Consider the following 12031-nt stretch of genomic DNA (forward strand, 5'->3'; position numbering starts at 1 on the left):
TCAAATACTCTATCCCACTCTTTTGAGAAATATGCTTATACTTACCAAATATCCCAACTTGGGATTTTCAAAATGTAGTGTCTGTACTCATGACAGATCAAACTGCATAAGAAAATTACAGCAGGTATGGACAAATGGCCTTCGGTAGAGTTCAAATAGTTATCATTTCTTTGACTCAACTTCCATATCTAGGAATTTACCAACATATACATGTATACATGTGTTGAGAAAGTACTGTGTGGTTGCTTATGAAAGCTTTATTTATTTATAAAAGCAAGAGACTAGTATTTTGAATGTCATTCAATAGGGTTTAGTTAAATCAATTATGGCACATTGTACCACGGAATATTATACAGGCAATGAAGGTAGTTTTATATATGCTGATACATTTCCAGGACACAGGTAAGTGGATAAAGCAAAGTATAAGGGGAACAGTTTAACAGGATACTTGTGTCTGTATATGAAAGGGATGTTACATATATCACCCTGCATGTGCTCAGGAAATTTCTGGTTGGCTTCATAAGAACCAGGGTCACGTAGGTGACATTTGGGGTTGGAGGAGGACTTACTGTACATCTTCTCATGACCATTGACTATTGTTGCCATGTGTGTATAATATACTTGCATGTATCTATATGATACATGCAATATATAATATCAAGATATTGGTCATCGTGATTGCTACCTTGTATTCATCAAGGAAGGAAAGGGAAAGTCAAAGAGCTCTTAAGAATTTCATGTCACGGTTGGGCAGTTCTTTTTATTAAAAGTGCTCCTCCTGCTAACAGGTGAAGATAATTTCTGCTTGCCTGAGAAACGTTTGTTCCATCTGTATTATTTAAGCTAGCCATAGAAGTGACAGGAGGTGGCATTGTTACATAACTTTCACCTCTGTTTATTTGAAATTCTGTTTTCCCCTGGAGTGGAGGGTCAGGTGCATGTTTGTTGGGGAGCAAGAGTTGGCAAACAGACATATAAATGTAGGTAAATATAGGCCATTTACAACATAAAGAAGAGTCCCTGCTGTACTCTAGATCAAAAGGTGCTCTACATTATTGAACTGTGATGCTTTAGAGCTTCTGCCAGTACTAAAAAGAGAGTATCCTCCCAGTTAGTGGCTTCTCAAATAATCCAGTTTTTAGGTAACTTCCTCTCCCCACACTTTCAGATGAATAATTACCCCTCATTTGGTTCCTTTGTCAGTTATCATTTAGATTGAAGTCCAGTTATGGTTTATGTTCATTTCTTCCCAAAATCATAATCAAAGTCACAGAAATTGGACCACCAAGGCCATCTAATTCAACCTGAGGGGAGGAGAGAGGCACATGGGGTGACTTTGTCTTTCAGATGTCGGTCATTTTCTTTCCCACTTGAATCAAAAAGGCAGGGGCAGGTCCAAAGATGAGTGAGGACTGAGGCCTCTGTTCCATTCTGCAGGCTTCATTCTTGAGCTCCTTTTCTCCTCAAAGTCCCCTCCTTCACCTTCTTTGGCCCACTGGATGGTAATGGCCTTTCTGGTTTGAAGCCAAAGAAACTATCACAAGAACTTTAAAAAATGTCTAAACGATAACCACCTTTGCCATCAAACTTCTGTAAAAATGCATGCTTGTATGACTGTTTGTTTGTCTTTAACATTGATTTCCTCTTCCGAGGGCCATGCCCATTTTTTAATATCAATGATGTAAATCACCCTTTGAGAGATATTTTTGTAAGCTATTTTAGAGATAGGCGATCTGAGCAATTCTATTAGAAACATTAATCTGTTGGAAAGATCAATCCAGCTGATGGTGGGGGTTAGGTAGATGTAGGTCAGTTAGCAACATACACATTCACTTTTAACTAGTTTTAGAGACATAAAATTGATGCTATTTCCCATACCCAGTTTCAGGCTCTCCCAATGCTAACTACCCATTATTAATACAGGAAAGCTACAAAATCTTGGTGTTATTGTAATGTCAGAGAGGTAGAGTTATGTGGTTATTGAAAACCATATGTTCACTCAGTCACTGTTTCATCTGACCACATCATAGCTACCCATATTTCACTATGGCTCAAGAAATTGAAGGAACGCGTGAGTCGGTCATGCCCAAATGTCCCCTAGATTCATTCAGTCCCAGAGTCTCCCCTTTGGGTGGTTTTAAGCACTACCAAGGCAAGAACCCAGAAAACTGGGCTGGGGAGGATCTTAACCAATTTCATCCAAAACAGAAACTACTTACTTTTAAAACACTCATGAGATTAATTTAATGTAATAATATACCACTTACGTAATTTCCTAACCTAAAACCATCTTGAAAGACATGGAGGTTAAAACTAGAAGACAAAGCAAGATAGTCCAATTAGGGTGACATTGGGGAGAGGGGAGAATAGAGATAGATTTCAGAGAAGCTACAGGTACTAAGAGAACAGGTTTCTAACTACAGTGTAACTGGAAAAATACAGTCAGTATTACTTCTTCGGTGTATAGTAACTAATAAGATATCTTGTGATTAAACCAAACTCTTTAAGTAAATACTAATTCTTTGAAAAAAGACTAATATAAAAAGAATGTGAAGAGAATGAAAAAAATTTTCAAGTACTTTCTTATTAGTTATAAGATCAATAAATACAACTATTCGGGGTTTTCATCAAAGAGTCCTCCCATACAGCTTTCCACATGTCCATTCAGTTATAATCAACCAAACATTGTAACACAATCTTATGTCCAAGTTCAAAGCAATTAAGAAAAGAAGAAACAAAACAAAACAAAACAAAAATTGTCATTGGCATAGTCCATTTGCACACCAATTTTCTTTAAGTTACAAAGGAAAAATGTTTATAAGTTTAACATTTTATGCTAATATCTTCCATCAGTATAGACTGCACACATGTTGGACACAGAGCCAGCTGCTGCCCACAAGAGGAATGTATCCTAATCACAATTTTACGACACACACACACACACACACACGAGTACATGTGTCAAATAACTTCAATGGACATCCAAGGAAACATTCAGTCTAAGCTAGGATAATGTACTTCATCTTTCCTTTTGCCTAGTTAAATTAAGCAGGCCGGATCTATTAAGGTCAGGGAGGAAACCAAAACCATCTGAGTGTGTACACAATGACCCATTTACTATCCTACGTTCATCAGCATAAGGAATCTTCTAATGAGAATCTATTAACAATAGAGGGGCCACACAGCACAATAGCCAGGAAGTATCAGCACAGGACCTGAAATGAGCACTTAGCAGTTGTGGCCAGAGACCATGAGCACTCTGGCATGGATTGGTGGTAGGGAAGGAGGTGAACAGGACCGAAGGGCTTTAGTTCTCATGTTCAAAGTTCCCACCACACTCCTCTCTAGGCAGCCTATATGCCTATCAGCTATTTAAAACTTCAAGTCAAACCAGCCTGCCAACGTGCCATCTTAAAATCATTGACTACCACTGAAAGTTAATTTCCAGTCGCCTTCATTTCATACATGCTATAATATACTCTCAATGGTTGAAATGAGCAAACACATAAACCTTCCAAGTTGTTGGCACTTAAAAGATGACCCCTCTGATGTTCCATCCAGGTCAGCAACACCAACATATATACTTTTCTCTGTTTTACAGTGTGTGTACAGTCACATTTGGCTTAGAGGCCCAAAGGGGTAAAAAACAACAGCACTGAGTTTGAGAGGCAGAGAAAATGCAGTTTCTTAATCATGGGTAAGGGGTTATGTGTCATGAACAGCTGTCACTCAAACACTGCCAGCTACCTGGCCTCCCGGTTTCCCATTGTGAAAGCGTGCACAGCCGTGTATTCATATAGCCATATACCACAGACATCCACCAGAAATGCACAGATGTGCTCCCGCCACTGCAGGCATGGGCCATGGTTTCCATTTCCCAAAGAAATACATTCCCAACTCCATGGTAGTGGAGTGTTCACCCTTCAATGGTTTCTACAGTTACATATTCTCAGACAATTACCAAGTAGCATTTTTAGTTGCCAAATACAAAGGATATAATAAAATCTTTAGACATTTTTATGCTAAAAAAAACTGTACAACAAATCATTTTGAAATTATGATAATCTCTGAGTACTATGGATATAGGTACTTACTGTTGACTATTCTGACTTGCAAAATATCCTCTGTAGACTCTTACTACCTGGGGAATGTGGGAATTACTTGCTACTGGTAGTACAGACTTCCATAGCATAGATTTTTTTAAATCCTAATACCAAATATTTCCACCAAAGAGATGAAAAATGTTTGCTGAAATACAATTCTTATTTCTTTTCATAGCTGGCAGTCATACATTTATTAATTATTAAAATAGCATTAAAAATATTAAGGTTGTTATTTACCATAATAATGGTTTCAGTTCCCATAGACTTCGTCTGCTCTTAACCAAAAGAAAAGCCTATGTACCTTTACAGAGCGACCCGAGGTCAAAACCAAATGCTGCGTATGGAGCTGATGAATTTGACAGACACTCATGGTGATATTGAATTATTTCCCCCAAAGATGGAGAAATACAACCATACAAATAAAGTCACCTGCAGTGCTTGAATTTCTTACCAAATGCCATTTTTTTTTTCAGTAAAAGTAACTTAAGAAATGCCCTAGCTCTGATCTAAAATCATAACTGAGCAGAGAAAGTCAAAGCCTGCAGTTACTGAAATACCCCTTTTGAGGTAAGCGGTGGGATTCTTCTCAACTCCTTCCAGTGTAACCAAAATGCCCTTTCCGGGCATGGCCGGAACCCGTCCTTTGTTTGGAAACGGACGCAAGCCATGCTGAAGGTTCCCAGTGCACACAAAGACTCATGTTTTCTGGGTGGAAGGACTTCTGTGACTTGGTGTTTCTTGTGACGTCAAAGGAGAAGAGCCATTGCCTCCATTTTGGAGACAGGAGCCCAAGCCAGTCTCTCTGGATACTCTGCCCAGCTCGGCCCCTGCCACAGCCGAGGCCACAGAGCTGGGCTGCAGGAAGGAATCGGTCACACAAATAAGCCCTCTACCTAGCTGCCTACCTATCCAGACTCAGATTCTCCAACATGCCTGTTCACCTAATTTTCCACAGCTTAGCCAACAACAAAACATCTCCATCTGGTTCATTTTTCCTTTGCGTTATAACTGCAGCCCAGAAAAAGCCTGACTAGTTCATCGGGGCCTACTTTAAACCAAATCCAGAAAGCTTTAAGGGAAATAACAGGTGTCTGCCTGGGTTTCTTTTATGTGGAAATCAGATATCCAAGTATCACTTGTGTTTCCACAGGAAATTTTCCATCTTCAGTTTCTCATTGGTGTTATTCTAGGCAAAGAAGTACCCAATTGCTTTCACCACCACGTCTCTCCTTGAAATCACAGCACATCACCCCATTTGCTTCAAAAACCTCACCTCCAACTTCAGGAGGAGGCACAGGGCCCTGCCTGTGCAGAGGATGAAGATTTCACATGACGCAGCCCTAAGCATCCCTGGACTGGAGAAGCATGGAAGAAGTAAACGTCCCTCCCTGCTGTCCCTCATCAGCAAGGAGCCCGAGGGGGATCTCACCGGCACCCCTGCCCTCTGGACACAGGTGTCCTGCACACAGGCATTCATGTAGGCTCTCCATCCCCAGTACGGTGTGTCCACACCAATGCACATGACAGCCAGGCAGGCATGAGGGAAAACAGTCAGCTGTCCCCAGTCAATACCTCTTGGCCTCTTCCCTTCCCACCCCACCCTCCCTTCTTCCCCACACAGCTTCAAGTCCACGCAGATCTGGGTCTCCAGCATTATCTAATCAGCTCACTCCCACCCCACTCCCCGTATCCTGAAGAAACACGTAAAATCCCATCTGTGGGGGAAAAGTCTACTCAAGTTGTCTTGCTATAGGGAGCTCTGATGAAGCGTGGCGAGGGCATTCCTGCGGAGGGATCTCAACTCCCAAACGTCTTCCTGCATGTGCTCCTGTTCCTTTTTCTCCTCCCCCTCCCCGCCCCCTACCTTGCTCCTCGCTGCTGTCCCCAAACCAGGCAGTGGGTTCCTCCTCTGGGAGCTGGGGTTCTCCGCCACCTCCTCCACCCTCGAGGGCTTTGCGTTTCTTCGACATCTCTGCCCAGGGCTGGGGATTTGGGGGTTTTCTTTCCCCACCCCCTGGCCCTCCCCCCTCGGAGAGGAGAGTGAAGGTGGGGTTGGATGGAGGGGAGGGGGTTAGGTGCAGAGGAAAGGGGTGGGGAGAAGAGACCAGAGAGGGAGATGGAAGAGATTGCTGCTTCAGGAGGGGAAGGGACTTGGGGTGGCAGGAAAGGCAGAGGGGCAGGGACTCAGTGCAGAAATCCTACAATCCGGTCCATCAATGTAGCCCTACGTCTAGGAGACTGTTTGCTGGTGTTGCGCCTCTCTCTCTCTGTCTCTCTCTCTCTCTCTCTCTCTCTCTCTCTGCCTCTCCCTCTCCCTCTCTCAGTCTCTCTCTCCTTCCTCCTTCCTCCTTTTCCTTCAAGTAGAAGGGTGAGCCGAGAGGGGAGGAGAGATCAAACCAGAAAGGAGAGGCTCCTTGGGTGCCTCAGCGGATTTCTTCCCCATTTGGGGGGGCGATGGGGTGGGGTGCTATGAGGACTCCTGGCCCTGTCTAGCTATGAAGGAGTGGTGTCTTATGGTTGGGCTTGGCTTGGCTTGGGGGGAGGGGGGACGGGACAGTGTTTGCAGTGTTTGGTGAGGATGCGATTTCAATGGGTTGCAAGGAAAATTGGGTGGCATGAAGAAAATAAAATGCTGCAGAATGCAATCTAGTGATGCTTTCAGGTGCTGGGGACTCCGGACCCCCTCCTCCCCTATGACATCACAGGATCTTTTGCAGAAGAGACTGGGGAGGTGGGGGGAGAGAAGAGAGTGGCGGCAGAGGCGAGGATCAAAAGAGCAGGGGGTCCTGTCCCCACTGAGAACTGGAGAAGGGCGGCTGGCTCGGGAGGAAGGAAGTTGCGGTGCACACACCATCCCTTCTCCAGGCCGCCTCGGGAGGCACCTGCGGGTCTGGCGCGGCAGCCGCTGCGGTTTGCAGCTGGCGCGCAGCCCTCGCTGGGAACTTGGAGCTCTCAAACTCCTCGGATCAAGCGTTAGCCCCGAGGCTGTCAGTTGGCGCTGGGGCGGGCTGCAGTCTCTCTCCCCTCCTCTGCAAACCCTTGAGTCTTCGGCTTTATATACTCCCTTTTCTTCTTTCTCGAGTCCACTCATCACCCTTTCCCCCAAACAGTCACCTCCACAAGCACAACACACCACACACGCGCACACGTTTTCTTATTGCCAAAAAGGGTGGAGGGAAAGGACAGGAAGTTTTTTTAAGTACACGCACACACACACAAAGATTGGGACTAAGTTTTTCTGGACTCTCAAGGGTTAAATAATAGGTAAAAGAACTGTCAACTTACCCGCCAAAGTATGCTGACGCGCATATCTGCTTTCCGCTTCATTTCGAGTTCATAAATTTAAAAAGAGACAGTGAGAGAAAGAAAAAGAAAAAAAAAGGCAAGGCGCCGGGAGCACAGTGGGTCCAGGGTTCCATGGAGAACTGCGCAAAGCAAGTTGCCAAGAAAGCCCGCTGGCCAAGTTCGGGACCTGTCCACCACGCTCGCGCGCTCCGCTCAGCAGGCAGATTCCAAAGGCTTGGGGCACTCTGGGGTGCGCGCCGATCTTCTCGCAAAAGGCGAGTGTGTGGGGTTCCTCCTTCCCTCCTTTCCATCTGGGGGTCTCGGGGAAAGCTGCACCCAGCGCCTTGGGCGCCCATGAAGACCAGTCCATCTCAGCTCAAGCTCCCAGCAGCAGCAACTTCGGACTCAGACCTCTCTCTTTAGAACATGAGTGCTTGTGTGTGCGTGCGTGTGTGTGTGTGTGTGTGTCCGAGTGCACTTCACATTTGGGGGTGCTTGTGCTCTCAGGAACGACTCTCCCGGCTGCCCGGAACTTAGAGAGTTTCCCTTTAAGCCGGAGATGCTGCTCGGACACCCCCCCGCGTCCAACAGGAGGCGATGACGTCTGTAGCCTCGTTGCCAGAACAGTCCCCAGGCTACCGCTGCCGTTCATTGACAGGAGCGGGCGCTCGGACGTCAGCAGCCGGACCTTTGGCAAGGCTGCTCCCGCGGAGACGGCTCCCACCCCCGCACCTGCCAGCCCGCCCCCCCGGGGGGTGGTCACGAAATCAAAGCCACCAGAGGAGGGGCCCGGGGAGGTGCTGGGGCTGGGGGAGGGGGATGACTCGGATCTGCCCTCTTTGTCCTGGAGCACCGGAGTATATAAATAGTGCAGTCTCCAGCCAGACTCTCTCCCAGTCTTGCACGCCCCCGCAGTCCCCCCAACCCGACCCCCGCCCCTTGTCACTACGTGTCGGGCTCGCTCTGCCTGGAGGGAGGCTGGGGTGCGGGGAAGCAGGGAGTGCAAACAGACATTGGTTCTCTTTCCTCTTCCCATTCATACATTTCTGTTGGAGTCCTAGGGCCGCCGCGCCGGGAGTCGCAATGAATGGATGGATGCCCGCGCGCTGGGACCACCAGGTCCGCAGAGATGTCGCCGGCGCTAGGGGCGCTCCTCCCGCGTGGGGACAGGCGCCCTCGCCTAGGCGCAGTGTGGGGGGACCCCAAAAGACCCTTAAGAGGCCAAAGGCCTGCTCTCCCCGTTCTCCCCAACACACACCAGGGGTCTTTTCTGCCCCGGAGAAGTTGGGACGCAAAACGTAGGGAACTGCGCTCAGTCTCCGCACCACGAAGAGTCGAGATGGGGACCGAGACCAGCACGGACGGTAGCAACAGAGAGGGGAGCGCCCAAGTGGCGCAACGTTGTGGCTGAAGCCAAGCCTGTCGCCTCCCCCTGAGTACCGCTGGCGGCCCAGGACCGTGCGCTCTCCCTTCCTGAGCACCCAGGGATGCACTGCGCAGGGAAGGAGGGCACGGCGGGAGGGTGCTTGCAGGGGACTGCTGCGCGGATTCCCCATCCGCACCCGGCTCGCGGGGAATCCGTGGGCTTGCACTCGCCAGAAAGAGCTGCTGCAGGAGCAGCCGGATGGTGAGGCCCGTTCCCGACCCTGGGTGGGAGGAACTTAAAGGGCTGAGTTCTGAGGCGCCAGGCACAGGGCGCAGCTTCATAAATGCACCCAAAAGCTTCCATGGACAGACGGCACAGATGTCGCTGAAGTGAACCTAAGGAAGTTTGCTACCCCAAGACCCGGGCTTCGCGCCAGGTGACAACAGACGTCTGGGAGTGTGGTGACACCTGCGCAGAGTCCCTGGTGGTTCAACCTGTCCGAGAAGGTTGCAAGAAGATGCCACTGTCTTACCTTTCTCCCCTAGTGCTCATGCCCCAGAAAAGGCCACTGGGTCACTAGATCCCAACCCCTTGTGCCATGAGAGGGAAGCCTGCACAACGGCGTTGGCACTCCCCCATAAATCGTCTCCTGGGTCCTTCCCATTACGCACACACATAATGTCATTTCTCCAGGGAAAAATAAATAACAACTTTCTTGACTCTCCACCTTCTCCCTCCATCTCTACCCAGGTTCTCTGTTTCCCTTTACAAAAGAATGCAGCTGTCTAGATGGTGGCTCTGGTCTCTCTCCTCTCTCTGGGTCTTGAATCGTTCCAAAACACTTTCTTAAGAGTTCTACTTCTGCTGTCCTGCAATATCTCACTTTTACTGAGGTCACCATTCAACCCAAAACTCTCTATCCAAGAGTCCATTCTTAGACATCTTAGATGACTTACCCATGACAGTGGACAGAATTCTTCATTCCTGCCTCCTTAGAATACAACCTTGACTCAGCTTTCCAGATGCTCCACTCTGCTGATTTGTGTCCCACCTTTCTGGATATTCCCCCTTAGACACATTTGCTGAACTCCTCGTCTCCCCACTGTCTTCATGTTGCAGTGTCCCAAGGCTCATCTGTGGACCTTTTATTTTCCATCACTCCCTGCTCCCTTGGTGATCTCGCTCAGCCTCATGGGTTTAAATCTGAATACTAATGACGCTTGCACTTATATGTTTAGCCCAGACCCTCCCCTAAACTCTACATTCATGTATCTAGCTACCAGCTCCACTGGGGCATCTAGAAGTTATCTGAAACCTAACATGGCTGTTACTGAGCTGTTGGTTTTACCCCCATCACAAACCTGCTCTTCCCACAGTTTTTCCACCTTGGTGAATGGAAAGCCCACACCCATCATGTCTGGGTTATAGCTGTTGCCACCTCCCTCAGCTCTCACTCTGCCCACGCCTCCTTCACTCTATTCTCAGCCACATGGGCCTTCCTAGAACCCACCAGGCACCCTCCCAACTCAGAGCCTTTGCAGCTGCTGATTCCTCTCCAGGAACTCCTCTGCCCAATGTCCTGAATATCTGCAGGGCACATTCTCTTCCTCTTTCACATTTTTTCCTCTTGCACCTCTTCAAGAAGCCTCCAGAGTCCACCCCACCACACACTGCTACACCACCTCTCCCAGCACTTATTCCCGCCTTTCTTTGCTTTACTTCCTCCATGCATTGCTTGTGGTTGACTTATCTGCCTCGTTTAGTGTAGTTCCCCAGTAAAATGTCAGCTTCCTAATGGCAGGAATTTTGCCTTTGCTTATAATTGCATAAAAACTACATAACCTCATCAAACTTTCTTTACCTGTCACCACACATTCAGGAGTTCCTGATTCATCTCTTAGAACATAGAAGAAACTGAGCTTGGAGGTTGGCAAAGGCCATTTCTCTGTCATAGTGATCTCTCACATTAAATGTGTGTGTGTGTGTGTGTGTGTATCTGCCCAAGACCACTGTCACACCTCTGGTGATTCCTGAGAAATGCAATCTCTCTACCTTCCTCACTTTCTTCTTCAATCCTTTCTTTGCCTTCCCCTATTTCTTTCTTTTCTCTCCATTAGTCTTCTTTTCTTTTCTGCCTTAAGCCTCCCATGGGCACCAAGGGGCATGCCTACCTAGCCCTTGGCCACCAAGGAGGTAAAGGGGACCTTCAGGCTTACCTGTGTTCTCAAAGCCGCCTGCTCCTTCCCATCCATCCTGTTTCAATGCGTTCACATCCCTTCTCATCAGCAAGGAAATATATCCCTGTTTCTAGAGCTTTGGAGTACCCAAATTAGATGTCAAACATTTGAGTCATTTAATAACTGCTGAGCTCTAGGGCTCCAGAATGAAGTCCTGGGATCTCCCCTCAAGGCTGTCCTAATCCAGTGCAGGAGAGGGACAGGCACACTATCAAGGCATCAAGGTGCTGACAAGGGTGCTGATGAAGGCAGCCAGTGCGACGAGGGCGCTGATGAAGGCAGCCAGTGCGACGAGGGCGCTGATGAAGGCAGCCAGTGGGACGAGGGTGCTGGTGAAGGCAGCCAGCACGACAAGGGCACTGGTGAAGGCAGCCAGCGTGCGAGGGCGCTGGTGAAGGCAGCCAGTGCAGGAGTTCCTGGAGTCCAGGTCACCGGAAAGGTGGGAGAGAGGACCACAGGGGGAGCTGCATCCAAGATGGGTTTGCAGGCCTTGGGGGAGCTCAACAGTGGAGGCAGCTGTGCAAGCCCCAGAGGCAGGAGTGAGTGGGATGGTTGGCACGCTGGGCATCAGGGTGGTTTGGGTGCCAGTGCCGGGATGGAGGGTGAACAGACAATGAAGGGCCTTCAGCCTACGCTGAAGAGAGCCTGCATCCTGAAGGGCTTTATGAAAGAGAAAAAATGGTGTCCTACATGTTTGAGTCGAAAAGTTGATGAGTGGATCAGGAGGTGAAATCAGAGGCAGGAGGAACAGCCGGAAGAGGCTATTCCGGGGTAAGGCACTAAAGGAGATGAGTTGGCCATGTGGGACGAGAGGATGTGGAGGCCCACACTTCCAGTGCACGTGTAACTGCCCACCTTCTGCCGCAGGACCTGAAAATAAGTTAGAGTTTGCTGAGGATTACAGGGTCATTGGTGTCGAGGGGGCAGATGCTGCTTCATGCCCGCCCTCTTAGCTGGGCACCACTTTGGTGGTATGAGTGCAGTTTATAATCTGTCACCTATCCTGCACATCTGGAAACTCCGTGTCACCAGCTTAACCT

The 12031-nt window shown here is 48.2% G+C and overlaps 1 protein-coding gene and 2 long non-coding RNA genes across 6 annotated transcripts in view; 1 reads left to right on the forward strand and 2 right to left on the reverse strand.

Annotated features, from left to right (window-relative positions):
• LINC00473 (long intergenic non-protein coding RNA 473) overlaps positions 1-7899 on the reverse strand; it is a 63992-nt gene extending 56093 nt beyond the window's left edge. For both annotated transcript variants that reach the window (NR_026861.1, NR_026860.1), the window contains exon 1: positions 7389-7899. This is a non-coding gene — a long non-coding RNA (long intergenic non-protein coding RNA 473). The remainder of the gene's footprint in view (positions 1-7388) is intronic.
• PDE10A (phosphodiesterase 10A) overlaps positions 1-7912 on the reverse strand; it is a 660764-nt gene extending 652852 nt beyond the window's left edge. For all 3 annotated transcript variants that reach the window (XM_011535387.4, XM_017010194.3, XM_017010197.3), the window contains exon 1: positions 5968-7912. The gene's annotated coding sequence lies outside the window, so the exon portion shown is untranslated. The remainder of the gene's footprint in view (positions 1-5967) is intronic.
• LINC00602 (long intergenic non-protein coding RNA 602) lies at positions 7411-9475 on the forward strand. Its single transcript, NR_027284.1, has one exon. It is a non-coding gene; the product is annotated as a long intergenic non-protein coding RNA 602 (long non-coding RNA).

The sequence above is a fragment of the Homo sapiens genome, chromosome 6, assembly GCF_000001405.40.
Source record: "Homo sapiens chromosome 6, GRCh38.p14 Primary Assembly".
Lineage (NCBI taxonomy): Eukaryota > Metazoa > Chordata > Mammalia > Primates > Hominidae > Homo > Homo sapiens.